Raw genomic sequence first — 20,606 nt, 5'->3', positions numbered from 1 at the left:
TAGATAGCTGAGCATGGGCAATAGCTGCCTAGTCTCCTTGGTTCTCTCTCCCTTCATCTTCGTTCTCTGCTCCCCCCACTTCCTCCTCCCTTTCATTCATTCAGCACCTCTTGGACTCAAGGGAACACTTATTCTGCACACTTTAATCTATATCACTTTAATTATAATAAGCCACCAGCCTGCTCTTTTCCGTGGTGTTATGGGGAGTTTTAGAGGAAGGAAGAAGAGAGTTCTGTATTTGTTTCTGGTGTACTTCTATTTTTTTGTTTTCCCTTAGCATAATTTCTTATTTCTCTCTCTCCTTAATCCCTTTTAAAATAAATGTTTCTTCTAGTTTTATTTGCAGTCACTGAAAGAAGTTTCACTTCATTTTAGTAAGAATATCTCATTGGATGTCTTAGAAACGGTTGCCCCTTAAGTCAAATAAACAACAAAATAATTTTTTAAAAAGACATTTCTTTATTTCTCTCTTTTTTTTTTAAAGAAGTTAAAAATGTAACAGGCCTATTTTTGGAGAAAGAATGGGCCAGAGAGTTCTTAAAAAATTCTAAACAGATTACACACTTTGAAAAATCCTAAAAGGATTTTAATACTGGAACCTCTGAAATTCGGGAAGCATTTAAATTTAGGATTATAAGCTATCCCACCGCAAAATCCTCCTGTGATCAAATATCACATTTTAGGAGATGAGTGTCTTTGTAGCTGCCACTCAGGCTGCATCTGCTCGTTATGTGCAGTATTAATAAAACAGGAGGACCACGGGGTTCAGGGAGAAGTCTGTGCAGTCAGGGCTGCCCGGCTGGCCTGCTATCAAGAGCTCCGGCTTCAGAAATAAGTTCGAGGGCTCCAGTCCTCTTCAGAGGCTTGGAGGGGCTAGGGGAAGCTGAAATGTTGCCTGCACTGCTAGATGGAGGCTGCAAGCTCTGAGCAAATAGGCAAAGGGGCTGGGGGAGAGGAGTATGGTGGAGGAAAAAAATGTGGTAAACCCTCAACCTTCCCTCTGTACCCTCACTGCCCTCCCCCTTATTCTTTAAATTCAGGCTTTCCAAAATGCACCTTATTTTTGGTCCTTTTCCATGGGGCCACCTAGGGATTTTGTGGCCACGGGTAAAGTGAAGGAGGAATGGGTCAAATTCCTGCACTCCCCAAGTCTGACTTTTAGTGGCCATTGAAGCATTTTTGTACATAAAATTATTTCTATGTTGAGAGTTTTTCTAGAATATTGGAACTAGATGGGTTCATTGAGGTTATCAAGTCTAGTGGTTTTAAGTCTTTAATAACAATAACATATGTATCTATACACACACATACACGCACATACACGGGCATGTTTAATCTTAAAACACTCTTTTGGGTGGGAAGGACATTTAACCCAGAAGCCCAGTATGTAGAATAGTTAAGAGGAAAATTACTCTGATTGGCTTTGATTCAAGGGGCAGCCTGGAATCTTTCATCTCATGTTTTCTCTCATCTCCTAATGTGGCTCCTGAGATAACCTTTAGCAAACTCTTGGTCTGATGCATTCTCTTCTTTTTCTGCCCTTTTCCGTGGAATGAAAGCTAAAGAAGCCTAGCCCATGGAGGGAAGAGGAGATGCCCCATGGCACCCAGGGGAAGATCTGGGCCCCATAACCACTTGCCTTGATTCTAAGCCTAGATCTGTTTCTCTAAGGCTATTATCCAGGAATTTCCAGCTTTGCTCTCTATATCTACTCTAAGAAGCTGTGAACCCTAAGTTGGACCCAAACACTGACTAATAAATTCAGGGATGAAATTTAAAGCCGGAAGTTTTGATGTTCCATGGGTCAATAGGAATGCATGGTTTCATGCTGATTCTCAGAAGGGTGGGTGGGTCAAAATCATTATGTGGTTTGGTAGGGAGTCATGTGGTGACTAGAAGTAAGGAAAGGCATGATGTGAAATGATCCTATGTTGGAAACCCTACAGCTCATTTTCTCCTAACGCTAACGTCTTTTCATGAACATGGTGTTAGCATTGTCAGTTTCATAAGCCCATGATACACTAGGGCAGTGGCTCTTACCAGGGTGATTTTGCCCCCCATGGGATATTTGGTAATATCTGAAGACATTTTTAGATGTTGATAAAATGTCCTATAATGCACAGAACATCCTCCCACAACAAAAAGGTATCTGGTCCTATGTGTCAATAGTGCCTATGTTGAAATAACCTTCTTGAGAATTTAGCAATCGTTCTCAGATATATGACCTCACAATTTTCCAGTTAAATCCTTACCTTCACCCTATTTCTCCCTGTAATTCAAAGTCAGCACTAATTGGGCAACAAGCCAAGAAAAGTGCAGAAAACATGTCTAACAGTTTCTGCCTTCCGGGGGTCCCATTCTGATGGGAGAGGTGGGTGAACAGAATGGTACAAGTGCCTGTGTTGCTACAAGCAGGGAAGAGAAGGGGGAGTTTCAGCCTCTGGCTTTTTGCCTGCTTGGGGGGGGTAGCAAGTGAATGGTGCTTGTGCCAAGTTTCTTTGTTTATTTTTGCTGGGGATCAGATGAGTCAGATAATTGGTCAGCTGTGAGGTAGAGAAAGAGAGAGGTAGAGAGATAAAACTGAGAGGGGGGCAAAGACAGCCTGTTTAGTTGCTTAGGATCAGGATGGAATAAGGATGGCAGAATATCATGGTGAACAGATGGGGGTCAACGTTCAGAGGGTAATCTGGCCAGAAGAAGGAAGTTAAAGGTACAGACCAGGTAGGTGCAGCCTTTCCTTAGGAAAAATTGCACATAAGTGTGAGAGCTAAAGATACCCCTGAAGCAGTCCACACCTTGGATCCTATTTTCTAAAAGCACTGCCCATTGCCTTGAAAAAAGAGCTCTCTCTTCTGCTAGCCCAAAAGACAAAGAGCAATGCTTTGCAAAATCCATAAAACAAAAGACTCCAACAGTGTCAAGCCTCTTTAAACAATCACTTGTGCTATGAGGCAAAACAACTGAGACGTCCGGATAAGCACTGTGGTGGTATTTTTCATGTTGATTGCAATAACAGCATCAAAGCCATGCACATTCTGTGTAAAATCAATGTCTGCTTGTTGGAGGAGGAGGGGAAGGGGAGAGGCCTGGGGATTTTATCTTGTAAGTCAGCTTTGCAGATAATCGCATGCCTCAGGCTTGGAAAAAATTGATGGCAGATCAATGGTCAGGAACATGAACTGTACTCATTTTTGACTGTGCAGTGCCCAGTGTTGGGTGAGAGTATCGAGATGTGGAAGCGAGATGGGGTGACTGGGACACTACTTTGGAGTGGGCTGGTAAGGCCTTGGCACTATCTGCAAGATAACTATAAGGACCACTCTGGGAAGGATCAGGTATTAGAAAAGATGAGCTATACAGTAAATTTCCAAGGGTTGGAGGATACTCTTATTCAATAAGGGGAGCGTGTGTGTGTGTGTGTGTGTGTGTGTGCACGTGCAAAGGAAAACTTGAGTTTATGTCAAGGACATTTTTACAAAGTATGTATGTCTCGATCAAGGGAGTATTTGTTGATTTGTTTGTTTCACAGACCAGAGGAATGCTTACATTGGCTCAGGGTGGAGCAGGGGGATTGAATTGTAGTTTAAGTTGGTACCAGGCTCTTTATTTGGCCATAGGGATTCTAAAGCTTTTCTTTATTGGTGGGGATGCTTTGGAGAGAGATGAGGAAGGAAGGAAAACAAGGCCATCATCTTACTGTTTTTTTATTTCTACATGAGGGTCTTATAAGAGTGAACGCTTTTCCCCAAAATTTCCCACTAAAGAGATCTCAATTTCTCATCATTGATGGAGAAAGAGGCAGTGATTTGCACCTTCTGTTTGTTGATCCCTAGGAGGATTCAATGAGTTATTTCATGGAAAGCACTCACCCAACTCAATAAAAAAACTTCAGCAATTGTGTTTTCATCACTTTTGCTGCACATACCTCATAGACACAAAAACAGAGGTTCAGAAATCTCTTCACTTGTTGATATTTTTAGTGATAAAAATTTACATCATACAGGGGCAAGATGGCATGGTAGAGGGGACAGCAGAGGGTGATGAAACTGCCTGTGGTGGTGCTCCAATCAATCCATGCTCTGGTTTGTGCTCTGTGAAGTCACAGTGGCCTCACTACCAAGACCTGAGGCCAGCACGTGCCCTGTTGAGTTCCCCTCTATACCTCTCTTCCCTTTTCAGTGTCTCTGTCTTTTTAACTCTTTCTCTCCTCTAGAATTCTCCATTTCTTCCAATGTCTCCTCCTTCCTGGTTTACTGGCTTTCCTCCAGCTGTGGTAGCCCCAACCCTCCTCTGGTGTCCATGGCTCTCCCAGCCTCCTGTTTATACATTTCTACTCCTAAGTGTGAGTGTGAGGGAGTGCTTTCAAGAAATATGTTGGGGCTGGGTGTGGTGGCTGATGCCTGTAATCCTTGCACTTTGGGAAGCTGAGAAGGGAGGATCACTTGAGCCCTGTAGTTCAAGACCAGCGTGGGCAACATGGTGAGACCCCATATCTTTTTTTAAATTTTATTTTATTTATTTATGTATTTATTTATTGAGATGGAGTCTTACTTTGTTGCCCAGGCTGGAGTGCAGTGGCGCGATCTCGGCTCACTGCAAGCTCTGCCTCTTGCATTCAAACCATTCTCCTGCCTCAGCCTCCCGAGTAGCTGGGACTACAGGCGCCCGCCACCACACCCAGATAATTTTTTTGTATTTTTAGTAGAGATGGGGTTTCACTGTGTTAGCCAGGATGGTCTCGATCTCCTGACCTCATGATCCGCCTGCCTCAGCCTCCCAAAGTGCTGGGATTACAGGCATGAGCCACCGCGCCCAGCTGGTGAGACCCTGTTTCTACTAAAAATATAAAAACAAAAAGATAGCTGGATGTGGTGGTGTAGGCCTGTAGTTCCAGCTACTCAGGAGGCTGAGGTGGGGGGATCGCCTGAGCCCAGGAAGTCAAGGCTTCAGTGAACCATGATCATGCCACTGCCCTCCAGCTTGGGCAATGGGAAAAAGACCCTGTCTCAAAAAAAAAAAAAAACAAAACAAAAAAAAGAAATATGTTGGTGCAATGCTCTATTCCAGGTATACAGCCAACTTTCTATTTTCCTTTATCATCTCAAAGATCTGAGAAAGAAATTCAAAATACCTCTGACTGCCTAATATTTTTGTATGCATTAAAAATTGATACATGGGCCGGGCGCGGTGGCTCACGCCTGTAATCCCAGCACTTTGGGAGGCCGAGGCGGGCGGATCACGAGGTCAGGAGATCGAGATCATCCCGGCTAAAACGGTGAAACCCCGTCTCTACTAAAAATACAAAAAATTAGCCGGGCGTAGTGGCGGGCGCCTGTAGTCCCAGCTACTTGGGAGGCTGAGGCAGGAGAATGGCGTGAACCCGGGAGGCGGAGCTTGCAGTGAGCCGAGATCCCGCCACTGCACTCCAGCCTGGGCGACAGAGCGAAACTCCGTCTCAAAAAAAAAAAAAAAAAAAAATTGATACATGATATTTCATGCATTTCTAGGGTAAATGTGATACTTTGTTACATGCATAACATGTAATGATCAAGTCAGGGTATCTGAGGTATCTAGCACTTTGAATATTTATCATTTCAGCCTATTGAATGGGAGAAAATATTTGCAAACTGTTTATCTGACCAGAAACTAATTTCCAGACTATACAAGAAACTCAAATAACTCAACAATTAAAACAAACAGGCTGGGCACAGTGGCTCGTGCCTGTAATCCCAGCACTTTGGCAGGCCAAGGTGGGAGGATCACTTGAGCCCAGGAGTTAGAGACCAGCCTAAGTAACATAGGGGTCTCCCATGTCTACAAAATAAAAAAATTAAAAAGAAAGACAAATAATCCCGTTAATAAGTGAGCAAAGGACATGAATAGACAATTCTCAAAAAAAGCCCTAATGCTGTGTTTTAATCTACATGCAGTCCTACCCAGCAGAATACCTGTAGCCTTATAACACATTTGTCCCTTTTCTGGCCTTTGGATATATAAAAACTTCAGTTTTGCAATTGCTTTTGCACCAACTGATACAACAAGTTCATCTTGAATTAACCTGACACTGGAAGACAGCTTCGGACTGTAATAGAGTGCAGAGGTGCACGCACAGGACGGGAGGTGGTAAATACCTTCCTAGCAGATTGTAGTTAGGGCTTACTTAATTGGAGGCCTTACCTCCCATTGCTATTTCAACTCATACTGGTAGCTCTCTTCTCCAAGATAATGGCACCATGTTTATGCAGTATGCCACATTATTCACTGATTGATTGCTATGCTTTACGCTTAACAACACAACTAGATTGTAAACTCCCCAAGGACAGTGACTATTTCTTTTTTTGAGACTGAGTTTCGCTCCTGTTGCCCATGCTGAAGTGCAATGGCATCATCTCAGATCACTGCAACCTCTGCCTCCTGGATTCAAGCAATTCTCCTGCCTCAACTCAGCCTGCCTAGTAGCTGGGATTACAGGTGCCCGCCACCATGCCCAGCCAACAGTGCATTTTTAGTAAAGACAGGGTTTCACCACATTGGCCAGTCTAGTGTTGAACTCCTGACCTCAGGTGATCCACCCACCTTGGCCTCCCAAAGTGCTTGGATTACAGGCATGAGTCCATGCACCTGGCCAACAGTGGCTATTTCTTCTCTCTCTGTGTGTCCCACAGTGTGCCCAGAAGTTTTTGGCTCACAATGAGCTTGAACACATGACAGGTGGGAACTTCACCACTTTCAAATTGTTGATAATGTTTATTAGTGATTTTTGTCTGATACCTTTTTTCTACCTTGTTAAATCATTTTTCTTTCTTGAGGCCTGAGACCCCATTAAAGCTTATCTGTCCAGTCCTGCCATCTTCAGCTCTGTTTCTTTTTGCATTCCTTAATTTAATTATTGGAAAACCATGCTATCAAGCCCTTTTATTTCCAAATGAGATCATTTACCATTTCTGAGACCAGGCTTCACATGCACTCTCTGAAGCCAGATTCTCTTTATTTTTAAAGAATAATCACCACCATACATGTTGGCTTCAGGGAGAAATTCTTTAGAAATTGGGCCCTCTGAGAGGGCGGTCATAAGATTCTGGGGAGTAGTGCCAATTACAGGGTAGTTGGTTCCAAATCCCAAACTAAAGGGAGTCTCTGGTTTAGTGCAGATGGTCTTCACAAAAGCTTCACAATTGTCTATATTTGAAAGAAGATACAAAGAAGTGGAGGCTTAGGGTTTGAGTCCCAGGTGAGTTGGGGCTAACGTACATAAAGCACTAGCTTATGTGCACCAGTGGCTCAGACCTTAGAGCATGTCAGTATTGTTGGTCAGTCACACCTGAGTTAACTGGGTCCTAGGTGTGTTCTTCCAGTGGAAGCCAGATGCTTGAATGGAGAAGGGTGCTCAGGGGCCTAGCTTTAGATTTAACTCAGCCCTGTGATGACTCAGCTGGGACAGGGGACAGGTCATACCATTTATCTGAGCCTCATTTTATTGACATATAAATAAAATGAATTTAAGATTGGGTTTTAAGACTAGGTGATCTCTAAAGTTATTTTATTAGGGGACTGTTAATAACTTATGCCCAACCAAGCTTGTAGAGAGGAACAATATTTGGTTCCAATAACTGCATGTTGCTCTCCTGGAGACACCTTGGTTGTGATAGATAACAATTTGAAGATTGTTTCCAGATCATTTAATGTAAGACTTCATAGTGAAAGTTATCCAAATTCTTAGAGCTGTGATTCTAAACTTGCGGAAGTCAAGGATCACTTTGAGAATTTGATGACACCTATAGACCCCCTCTGGCCAACACACACACACACACACACACACACACGCGCGCGCACGCACACACACACGTGTGCGTGCACACACACACACACACACCACACACACCTTTTTAGATAACACTGGGGGAGTTGTTCGTTGTTGGACCCTGTAAAGGTAGTAGACCCTTTCTTTGTTAAGCGTTCCTGCTCTATGGTGAATAATGAAGTGTGCTGCACGTAAGGCCAATCTCCTCCTCTAATTTATGGTCCATTGTTACTCTAGGTCTCTTCCTTCTGACTGAAAATCACTCTAATTCAGCTTCATTATTCAGCAATATAGTGTAGGAGTAAAGGAGACAAAAGAAGTCTGTGAGTTGTTCTTACTCTAGCAAGTTTCAGGGCTGTCCAGAGCATGGCTTAGGCAAGTCACTTAACCTGCCAGGGCCTCAGATTTCTCATCTCTACAGTAGGGATCATAATCGTATCTACTTTATGGAATTGTTGAGAAAATTCAACAGGGTAAGACTAGCATGAATACCTGTGGCACTCATCTAGGTTGCAAAATCTAAGGGAGCACCTCAAAACCAGTAATTTAGATAAGTAACACTTTACCGAAATATTTTTAAACATTAAAATTAATGCAAAAAGATGAACAAAATATCACAATTTTGTTGTAATATTTTAAGTGAAGACAAGCTCAGTATTATTGGTATTTCCTTTTCAATCAGTTTCCAATATGGCCAGCACAGCACTGTTACTGATTCTGAGAATTTGGTGGCTAAAAAATATATGAAAATGTTTTATCTAACCAGCTTTTATCTGGAGCCATAATCCTGTCTAGTCCCTACTTGCCCACCGGTGGAGACAGAGCTTGACTCCTCTTGAGGCAGCACAGTTATGGGACAATCCTCCAAATATTTCATTCTTGCAACTCATATTTCCACGAGGATAAATATTCCCAATCTCTCTAGCTGTTTTTCACAAGAATAATGTCAAGTCTAAGAGCTTATAGTGTTGGCCAGCGTTCATTTTAAAGGTGGATCCTAGAACTCAGCCCACTTCTGATGTGATCCCCTAAAACCCAGAAAAGATATTGGGGGAAAGAAATAGCAAAACTTGGCTTTCCTCCTTGCAAAGCTTAAAAACTTGTTTAGAGAAACCAAGTCTTCAAGACAGCACTGGTTATAATTTGTTTTTCTTGTGTTACTTTCACGACATACCTAGACAGTCATATATAGCTAATTACGATCTGAAGCGAGTGTGAATTATGATTCTCGATGATACTTCCACGTGATTTGTTGCAATATAAATAACGATGATTTATTGCGGCTTCGCTGACTGCTCCGTTGGTGATGGATCATAATAGTAGATCATGATAATTATGAAATCAGCACAGAGCTGTTTTCCCCCTTGTAATTCAATTGTAACACGGCCGCCGAGGCTGCTGAACATCACAGCCTGTCTGCTGAACATCACAGCCTGTCTGCTGCATGCTGGATTGCATTCAAGAGGAGTACAGTGGTCTTCCATGTGACTCACAGCAGTTCATCTCTAATAATTGTCCAGGTGGTTGTAGTATTACAGGTTGATGGCATTTTACTCATAGATTTTTATTCCAGATGCAAATTAAATTCTAGAGCTTGTCATTTCTAGGCCAGAGGCATTAACAGAGAAATGCTGAAAGTCCGGGGAGGCCTGAGCAGGTGACAAAACCCAGATCCCGTTCCTTCCCTCTTTGCTGAAGGCCCCTCCCTGTCTCAGGTCTGGGCTTTGTCATGCAGACTGTGTTGCAGTGTTTATTAATTTTTCTGATTTATGCAGAAGAACTTTTACTCCAAGGAACACAAGATACCTGTCATTTGGACCCTGCTTTAAGCAACTCTAAGCTACAAAAATCTATTTCATTTAAAACAGTCATTTCTCATACTGAGTGCAAAAATGCTAGTTCTAGGCATTCTGTGAATAAAAAGAGCACCTTGGCCAACTAACTTTGGAAAATACTGGGTTAGAAAAGTAAAAAATATATACAGGTTGAAATAAATGAAACATTTTTATAAAGGTAAGTAAAGTAATGATCTTTACTTTAGGACTTCTTAGAAACTTCATTTTGTAAACATAGTTAATATCTAAGAAAAAGATATGGTACCCAGTGTTCCTTAAGTACAAGCAATCCTTACCTCTGGGTGGTGGACTAAATGTTGCCGTCAAGTCTTTGCATGTCTTTCCATGAACAGGTAGAGCCGAATTTCTGTACCTTTGAATCTGGGATGGGCCCATGACTTATTTTAATAAATAGAATGTGGCAAAAGTGACCCAGTGTCATTTTGGGGCTGGACCTTAGGAGGTACAAAGCTTCCATTTTTTCTACTTGGAACACTCCTTCTTGAACTCAACCACCATGCTGGTGAAGCTCAGGCAGCCTCATAGGATGCCGTTTGTGGGCAAGAACTGGGGCCCTGGCTGGTAGACCCAGTTGAGTTCCCAGCTGGCAGCCAGCACTAACTGCCCAGCTTATGGGTGAGGCCACTTTGGACCTTCCAGCCATCTCCACACCCCAACCAACAACTCAGAAAGCAGAACCATCCAGTCAACCTACAGAATTGTGAGACATAGTAAAGTTGCTATTTTAAGACATTGAATTTTGAGGTCGTTTATTATACACAATAGGTAACTGAGACTCTGCCATGTTAAAGTACAAGATTTTTACCACATGGTGTATTATACACTTCTTATTGTTTGCATTTTGCCTTATTCACTCTTAGTTTTTGGGATTTATCCACCTAAAATCATATATACGTATTTAATATATAAAATTATAACACCGTATTCACTTCTTTCACAGAATTTTGCACGATTTGTTTACTTGTTAATTTTTTTCCCCAACTGTAAGCTCTCAGAGTGCAGGATCCATATTTACTTTATTTATTTCTGTATGCCTCTCCTAGCCCAGTGACTGGCATAGTTTGCCTTCACTAAATATACGTTGAATGAATGAGTATCTTTTGGAAAACAGTTTTGAAGTATTAGTCTAAGCTATAGACAGAATTAGGGGCTGACTAATTACATAACAGAAGGATCCTTTGCTAAGGCTGAAATTATCAAAGGTTCCTTTAAATATTGATCTTACAAGGTACATCTAAAATAGGATTCAGCGTGAAAAACCCCAAATTACTGAAACTTTACTAGAAACATGAACTGGACCTAAAGGCAATCGTGTAGTGCTTATATGAGAAACATTAACATTTTCACTCATGTGCCTTTACCTTTTTCCCTCCACAGAGGAAACAATATCAGTAGGTTGTTGAATATCATTCATAATCATATTTTTATTCTTTTAGTAGATAGATGCATAAACATTAAAATAAGGGATATATGCCATATATTATATTATATACCTCCTATTGTTTTCATTTTGCTGTATTCACTCCTGGTTTTTTAGATTTATCCACCTAATTGTATCTATCATCTCTCTCTCTCTCTCTCTCTCTCTCTCTCTACTATCTAGTTTGTTCATTTTAAATGTGGCAGAGTATTCCGTCTTATGACTAAACATCAGTCTATTTGTTCAGTCTCCTACTGATGTATAATTACATTGTTTCCTGTTTTTACTATAATAAACAAGACTGTGACCAACGTCTTTGTACATTTTTCTCTGTGCATGGTAAGAGTTTATCATTGCCATTTTCCAGAAAAGAAAACTGTGGCTCAAAGCATTTAAGGAACTTGTCTGACATCAGGCAGTTAATCAGGTAAGGGCCAGAGTTCAAATCCAGTCCATGTTCATTGCTTTGCTGCATTTGGCTTCCTGGAAGGCTGGAAGACCCTGCAGACAGCAGGGGTACTGCTTGGAGGGGGATCTGAAAAAGGAAGTTTCGTGGATGCTTCATTGGCCTGAAATTCACTCCTCAGTTTCCCGGTGCCAGTTACTGAGTAATGACGCATCAGAGGGGCCCATGATGTGGGGTCAGAACAGGATTGACTCTCATAAGTCATGGAGTCAAGACCCAGCTTTGTGACCTCCCAGCTTTGGAACTTGAGGCCTGTTGCTTCACCTTTTTGAAGGTCATCTTTGAAATGGGGATTATAACATTCTCAGCTCATAGGCTGGTTGCAAACTTCAAGGAAGATAAGGTACAGGGGAAAATTTTATGATAAAAATGTGCTGTATTCATGGACATTGTTAAATCTGTTTGTTGGAATTCAGAAAATGTCACTCAGTTTTTGACTCTTGACAATTTGTCACCTGTAAGCTGGAGAGAATACTCTTCCAGAGTAAATCTGGTTTCCTTGAACATGGAGAGTTAAGGTCTGAAAGCAGGAAGAGGGCGCTGTCTCAGGGACTGGCCGCCTTGAGTTCTGTGAGATGCGAGAGGATGGCTTACGCTGCAGGGACGTCTGGTCTGGCTTGTGGCGGAATTCTGGTCCTAGCAGCATGGAAGCATCTAACTGCAGCTACAAGTGACCAGGGTTCTGGGTTTTTCTGATAAAGTGAATGTGGGTCCTTGTTTCTTGGCTTTAAGACAGATGCTGAAAGGCAGCCAATCCATTTGCTTAGAACAGGTGAGGCCTTGAGTTCTAGATTGGAAGAAAGGTGGGCTGGTTAGTTAGAGAGAGCAAGATGTGCTTGGAGGGATGCTGAAGTGAAGGGAGTTTCAGAGACTAAGTGTCTCCAGTACGACAAGGTGCATTTGGTTCCTTTGAATTTGGGGGTAAATGCTGCTACATGTGTGCCAACCATCAAAGACAACATGATGACCTTCACACTTGCACCTGCTTTTCTCCTATCATCCTCAACATTCTTCAGTTTGATTCATAAGCCCAGCTCTGTGCTCCCTTACCTAGGTGCCAGAACAATCTTCATTAGCATCTTCATTTTACTGATTGGAAGAGACCTGGCCTTGGGTGGCTCCAGGTGCGTCCAACATCGGCAGCAGCATTGGAACATTGGACAGCAGAGCTGGAAGGATCCCAGGGACCCTGAGCCCACTTCCCTCTTTTGGCAGAGGGAGAAAGACTAAGGGCCAGACAGGGAAGTAACTTACTCAGGGTCTCACAGCCACAGAATGGCATGCAAGGACTCAGAACCAGATAGACTAACCCCTGCCCAGAGTTCTTTTTACTTTTTCTTGTGGCCTCCTTGCCCCTTGCAGGGTCATGGCCTGTTCCACTTGCCCGTCCGCTGGGACTAGCTCAGATGTGGTTTAGATCTGTGTCCCACCCAAATCTCATGTTGAATTGTAATCCTCAATGTTGGAGATGGGGCCTCATGGGAGGTAATGGGATCATGGGGGCAGGTGGTTTCTAATGGTTTAACAACATCCTCCTTGGTGCGGTCATCGGTGATAGTGAGTTCTTGTGAGATCCAGTTGTTTAAAAGTGTGTAGTACCTCCTCTTCCCCTCCTTGCTGCTTTGGCTATGTGAAGGGCTGGCTCCCTCTTTGTCTCTGCCATGATTGTAAGCTTCCTGAGGCCTCCCCAGAAGCTGAGCAGATGCCAGCATCATGCTTTCTGTACAGCCTGCAGAACCATGATCCAATTAAACTTATTTTTTTATAAACTACCCAGCCTCAGATTTTGTTTATAGCAATGCGAGAACAGACTAATACCAGCTCTTTATGTTCTTGCCAGGACCCAATAATTTTGTGTCTCTTTGGGCAGGGTGGGGTCAGTTAGACTCGGGCAGTGTCCTGATTGGCCCTTTGAGATCTTGCCAAGAGAGAAAGAGCTTTTTAATCTACAACTTTCCCCGTCCCACTGGTCAATCCCACAGCCTAGTTATGGAAGGAGAGTTGTTTGCATGAGTTAGAAATATCAAGCCACCCACTTTCACTGGTGCTTTCCTCCTACTGCAGGTAATGCCTACCTGGAACGCTGCGTCAAGAAGGATTCAGAGTCTGGAGCTGAATCTGATCAGTTACTGCCTGCCATAAGCATGTGCATGGGGTGTAGTCATCTATGTGGCACATGCTTACATTTCTACCTTCCCCTTATCTGATGCCAGTATTGTCTCCAGAGCTCTCCTGAGAGCCTGGGAAATGCAAAAGTGGAGGTGTAAAGCCTTGTAGTGGTTGTTAGAGGAAACACCACTCACATAAGGAATTTCTTTATCAACCCCAGGGTACACACTAGGCAGGCTGTGCAACTGTTTTGCCTTTCTCCTCCTCCTGGTAGAGTAGTTGACACACTTCCTGGCTGCTGAGATCCTGACTAATCCCCACCCCTCCAAGTAGAACTTCATTGAATCTTAGAAGCAGAAAAATCCAGAAACAAAAGCAAGAAATAAAAGAGCTGTCAGAAAGGATCTACATAGAACCCTGAAGTTGTGCTTTCATAACTGAATAAATACCTCCTTGAGCAATAATTTGTTTGCAAGCTGTTAATTAGCAGCATAATTAATTTCTGCAGATTATAAATAACAGAGCACAAAGTGGCATTCCCAGTAGAGCCAATGAAAAATTACCTAAACCATTTTAAGAACCAAAAATAGTTCACAATGTAACAGATTTAAATGGGTTCTAGAATCTACATGGTGCAATTTTCGTTTTCCTGTGGGTTAAAAAAATTTATTAACTCAAAAAACTCAGCAACTGTGAGCTTGTATCTGAAGTCAGAAATTTATTGGTGAAAAGCAGAGTTTCATTAATCACCCTGTTCTCTTACGCCTGGCATGTTGAGAAGGAAAAAAAAATCTCTGTTTATCTCTGCTTCAAACAAACAGCCGCATAAGTAGATTATTCCCAACAGAAAGATTTTCCCTACACTCTAATCTCAGAGCAATCATTCACTGCTCTAAATGAGCAGTTACTTAAAATGTTAAGAAGAGATGCTAATTAGCTCAAGGAAAACCCTGCCAAGTATTTAATTTTGAGAAAATAAAATAAAGATAGGAAAGGCCTGTCACCTTTTGCAATCATAAGGCCATCGGTTTATACCTAGTCTTTTGCCTTGGTTACATTTCTAGTGTTAGGATCAGTACTGTGGGATACCGGCTGAGTGGTATGAATTGATCTCTAGGTTCAGAAACAAACTTGAAGGTAAGAGTATTGTTACAGCTTGTGGAGAAAGAGCCTTAACTTTATTTGTAATCTGGAATCATTTTTCAAAGGAGTTGCGACTTACCAAAAGCAAAAAAAAAAAAAAAAGATAAAAATGAATCTAAGAAAGTTCAAGGTGGGTGGATGTTAGAAGGAAACTGACCCAAGAGGAATGAAACTGATATTCCAATAATAGTCAATAGGTGATGTAATTTAGTATCACTTAGCTCTGAGCTTCCTGGTAGCCAAGGTGAGGAACAACATGGAGATAAGGAGCTTGTGTTATTTGAGAGAAATAAGGGGGAGAAATTCAGAGCATGGCCTGTAAGTAGTGAATGGTAGTTAACCCATGGGCTCCAACCAGGTGAACCTGGGTTCAAATGGACCCATCCCTTCACATTTGAGCTTTGTGATCTGGGCAAGCTGTTTAACCTCCTTGTGTCCATCCCAGGATTTGCTTTTTCTTTATTTAAAAAAAACTTTTTATTTTGAAATAATTCTAGATCCATAGAAAGTTATAAGAAGAGTAGAGAGTTTTCTTGCACCTTTCTGCCAGCTTCCTAACATGTAACATATTAGATAAATTAGTACATTATCAATACCAGAAACTGACATTGGTACAATAATACCAACCAAACTATTAGGCAGTATTCAGATTTCACCAGTATCAGGTTTGGCGTTTTCTTTTTTAATATATGTAAAATACTACATGGTTAATACACGTGGCTTACTTAACATATTATTGGCACCAGCCACATAATATGCACTTAATAAATAGAAGCCACCACCTTCCTCCTTATTATGAGTTATGAGTTAATGAGAAGGTCATTAGCCCCAGCAACTGCAAGATGCTTCCTAGACACTAACCTATCTTATCTTTGTCATCAGCCTAAATTTCCAGTGGAAAAAGATATATTTGGTCAGGTATGACAAGGCTTAGATTAGAAATAGAGTCTACTGAAGAATAAGGAAATGCAGACAGGCACATTTAATCAGGGATCTGGTAATAAAACGGAAATAATTCGAGCATCTTCATTTTTGTTTCACATGGTGGTTTATTTTCTGTTTTTCCAGCCACCCAGAAAGTAAGAGCTCCTTTCTTATACTGTGGATATAAAAAGAATAAAATCCTAATTATAGATAGTGCTTTTCTAAGATCCGAGCCAATGCTGCAGAGGAAGCGGGTGTGAGTTTGCAGTTTTATTGTTGCCTCTTGCGGGTGTTTGAACATTTCTGCAGACGCTTGTGCTATTCTGTTCAATTCCATTTGACATAGCTAAGCTCTTATTATAAAAGTGCATTTAATGATGCTTGCTGGGCACTACAGGAAGCACAGCAATGAAAAAGAGTTGACTTTTACCCCCAAGGAGCTTATAATCTAGTGATAATATGCCAAGGATTCATATCTTAACAATACTTCCCATTGAATTTAGTTATTGCCAGCTATTTTATTCAACTGTTGAGTAATACTGTCTCAAGCACAGTAAACTGACTGTAAAAGTAATACCTGTTCTAGATGGTATTGTCCTGAAGCTTCTAATAATATTTGAGGAAAAAGCAAAAATTATTTATTTACCCAGCAGCTATTTATTGAGCTCATTACATATGTTAGGTAATGTTCTACATGCTGGGGGTACAGGTACAGCAATGAACAAGATAGACAAGATTCTGGTTTTTTTTTTTGTTTGTTTGTTTTTTTTTTTGAGATGGAGTCTCGCTCTGTGGCCCAGGCTGGAGTGCAGTGATGTGATCTTGGCTCACTGCAACCTCCGCCTCCTGGGTTCAAGCAATTATTCTGCCTCAGCCTCCCAAGTGGCTGGGACTACAGGCACGTGCCACCATGCCCAGCTAATTTTTGTATTTTTAGTAGAGACGGGGTTTCACCATATTGACCGGGCTGGTCTCGAACTCCTGACCTCATGATCCACCCGCCTTGGCCTCCCAAAGTGCTGGGATTACAGGCTTGAGCCATGGCACCCGGTCCACAAGATTCTTATTCTAATGAAGTTTACCTTCCAATAGGAAAGAAATATGGAAAAATGAAAACAAATGAGAAAAGCAGATTGAGCTGGGCGCGGTGCCTCATGCCTGTAATGCCAGCACTTTGAGTTGCTGAGGTAGGAGGATCACTCGAACCAAGAAGTTCAAGGCTGCAGTGGGCTATGATTGTGCCGCTGCGCTCCAGCCTGAGCAACAGAGCCAGACCCTGTCTCTAAAAAGTAAATAACTAAAAAGTTATATAAAAAAAAAAAGAAAGAAAGTAAGAAGATTGAAGAGTAACTGGTGGAGAGGTGGGGAATGCTACTGGAAGAGCAGGATAAAGGAAGGCTGCTCTGCAGAGGCAACACTTAACCTGACGTCTGCAAAACTGAGAAGATCCAACCACGTGAATTTGTGGGGGAGGCAGGAAAACACAGCAAATAGAGACCAGCAAATCAAAGGCCCAAATGCAATCTCACTTGATAGCAGAGAGCGTGATTGTAATGCTTATCACAACACAGGCATGTAATAAGCATATGTGGACTGAAAGAAGTACCAGAGGGCATGGTACCGAAGATCAGGAACAAAGGGCATCTCCTAGGTGCTGAGAGAGAGCTTCCCAGAAGCAGACATTGAACTTGACTCTCCAGAGGACTTCTTATGGCTAGCTGGAGGAAGGATGGCTTTTCTCTGAGAAATGGAATGAATTAAAGCTCATTTGGGAAAGTTTGCTAAGAATGGGTTGCAAGGGTGGTGAAGGTAAGTAATTATGGGGGCTGAGGGAGACAAGCAAATATCTATTACTATTACTAGTAACAATAGTAGAAATTATTACCATTCATTACTTTTTACTCTTAATATGAAAATATTTAATAATATTAAGCATTCATGAAAAGTTTACTATATGCCAAGAATTATGCCTCATATCTTCCTTTCATTATCTCATTGTTACCCACGTTTTATTTTATAGTTGAAGCACTTGAGACTCAGAGAAGTTAAGTTACTTATCTAAAGTCACATAATTAAGTGGCAGAGTCAGGATGTACACCCATGTCTGTCTGATCTCAAAGTCCATGCATATTTATTACTTATAAGCTGTTGAATTTCTTCCCCAAATATCTCTCTCTGATATTGCAGAGCATATGGCAAATGGTGATTAAATTCTATGAAACAGTAGAGGAACAAAGTGCTTATTAGTTAGATAACTTTAATGTCATCACCAATGGCAATTTTATATCTATGCCATAATCTTGCCACGTATCAGCAGTGGCGATGATGGTAATGTTTTGTGTCAAGGAGGGGATTAGATAGTGTCTGGCAGACAAGATGGGTTATACTGAGCTGCTCATTTTCTTATTTGGCCCTTTGTGATAAAGGGTAGTTATTGGCCAAAGTGGAAAGTACAGTACTTTCCATTAATACAACATGTGGTTCTAGAGCAAGTTTTTCTAGGCCAAGCTAACTGGCTCTCATACATATTAAGTCTGTACATGGCTGAGCTCATCACCAGATGAGGCATAGCAGCTTCCTTTAAGAGTGCCATTCTTTCTGGCATAGGCTCAAAGTCATAATGCTGAAGTGGAAGTGGATGATGAGAGCACAAAGATAAGGGGAATGAGGTCGTGGCTTTCATCACACTGCATTCATGTCCTAGTTAGCATCACTCGGCCCCTGGCCACAGCTGGAGCCATGATCTTGGCACTTTGTCTTGTATATCTGTAAAGGACACTGATCAAGAGAGTAACTAATGAAGCACGCTCAAAGTAGAACTATTTTCTGTCTTGAGATAACATGTTCAAAACTGCAAGCACAACACCTCAATAAACATGGCACAAACACATTGAGTAAGTTGAATTTCTTTCCTTTTCCAAACATCTCCCTATGCCATTCTCCCTGGTTCTACTGGTTACTTCTTTTGTGCTACTAGACATTTTCCCCTCAATCCTCACCTTTACCATCTCTAGATAAAGTTGGTCAGGGAAGGCAAATCGTATTCATCTCATATATGAAGTTGGATCCATTTTTAAAGAACACCAAATGAAAGAGAAATTTGGAGCTATATTCAGGCTCTAAAGAAGAGGGTTCTGCGGTCAATTGGTGATATCTGCCATGGATGTGGACAGGAAGAGTGTGTGAGTGCACATGCTATGTATTAACCTGGCTGGTTTCTAAGTTTCTTCCATATCTAATATCTGTGATTATGCCTCAACAACCCATTTTACATGCAGGAAACCGATTTAAACTGCCATGTGAAGAAGGGGGGATCAGTAAGGTTATCTTTATATTGAAGAATGGTATATTGTCATGGTAACTTGAACAATGGAAGACAGACTGGCAATGAGCAAATCTTGGCAGCTATAGAGGGAATGGAGCAGGCTCTGAGAGTTACTGCAAACACTTTTGTGACTCTGGTCTTCTTGCCAAGTGTACAGATCACAAAGGTGCTCTACCTTTTAGATCTGCTGTGGAATAACAAGCAAGTGAAGACCTGGGCCTCTGCATGGTGTAGTTGATGAGATGCCCCCACTGTGGTTAAAAGTGGTGAACAGCATAGGAGGCACAGAATAAAAGGGTGGGGGGTGACCTTTATCAGACTGATATTCACCCCTGCCCTTGACTTTGAGCCTGAATAGCCCTGCCTTGGCTCATTATTATTTAAAGCTGCAGCCTCTTCTTTTCTCTTCATCATTTTCAGTTCACATTTCCTATTCTGTTCTCATTTTTGGAATGAACTTTCTCTTCTTCACTGGGCTTTTCATTGGGGTTCCAAATTCTCAAATATGCTGTTGCGACAGTTATAGATTTCTGAGCAAATCGACCAGCTTTTTTATTCTTCTCCATGCCATGTTCTATTGTCTAAGGGCAAAAGTTTAGAATCACAAAGACCCTCTTAGTATAAGTATTAGCCATTTATCTGTCCTACACACATACACACAAATATACACATACATATGTATGTTGCATATTTTCCTAAAATAATATCTTGTGATTTTGATTGCATCCTGTGTATCATCACATTAATAATAAAGAAAGACAGTTCAATAGAAAAGTATATGAATAGCTTATTTAGAGAAGGGCAAATTGAAATGGTCAATAAGCATATGAAAAGATGCTTAACCTCAATACTAATCAGGAACATTTCTAATTAAAGATACAATGCAAATATTTTAAGTGCATTATCACTCAGACCTGGTGATATGCCAAAGAGAAAGAGGCATCACACATTTCTGATGGAGATGGAAATTATTTTAGCCCTTTGGAAAGCAATCTGGCAATATGCCTTTAAAGTGAAACATACAGATCTTCTGACCCTGCAATCCCACTTCTGGGAATTTGGCTGATTAAAAAAAGACACCAGGATATAATGATATCTTTATTCTAGCATGTTTTTCAGTGGAAGAGAGAGAAAAGAATGAAACAAATGAAATGAAACAAACTAAATATCAAGTGATAGAGGAAGGGCTGAATGAAACATGGTACATCCACAGTGGGTAATATTTTGCAATCATTAAAAAATAGACAGTCCCTGACTTACGATGGTTGTACTTAAGAGTTTTCAACTTCACAGTGGTGCAAAAGAAATACACCTTCAGTAGAAACTCTATCTCAAGTACTTTTACAACCATTCTGTTTTTCACTTTTAGTGCAGTATTCAATTAACTACATGAGTAGTTCAATGCCTTATTATAAAATAGGCTTTGTGTTAGATGATTTTGCCCAATTATCAATTAATGTAAGTCTTCTAGGCATGTTTAAAGTAGGACAGGATAGGCTATGATGTTTAGTAGGTTAGGTGCATTAAGTACATTTTGGACTTATAATATTTTCAACTTATAA

At 41.3% G+C, this 20,606-nt stretch overlaps 1 long non-coding RNA gene across 3 annotated transcripts in view; it reads left to right on the top strand.

Moving 5' to 3' along the window:
* Nucleotides 1–2,604: 2,604 nt before the first annotated feature.
* The window catches only part of LOC107984901 (uncharacterized), an 86,734-nt gene continuing 68,732 nt past the window's right edge, over nucleotides 2,605–20,606 (top strand). For 2 of the 3 annotated variants that reach the window (XR_001752186.1, XR_001752184.1), the window contains exon 1: nucleotides 17,326–17,528. This is a non-coding gene — a long non-coding RNA (uncharacterized LOC107984901). Of the gene's footprint in view, nucleotides 2,722–17,325; nucleotides 17,529–20,606 lie in introns of those variants that run through there. The other variant, XR_001752185.2, reaches the window with a different exon arrangement.

This window comes from Homo sapiens, chromosome 16 (genome assembly GCF_000001405.40).
Source record: "Homo sapiens chromosome 16, GRCh38.p14 Primary Assembly".
Taxonomy (NCBI): Eukaryota; Metazoa; Chordata; class Mammalia; order Primates; family Hominidae; genus Homo; species Homo sapiens.
Note: the sequence above shows the minus strand (reverse complement) of the source record. Positions and strands in the feature narration are given on the sequence as shown.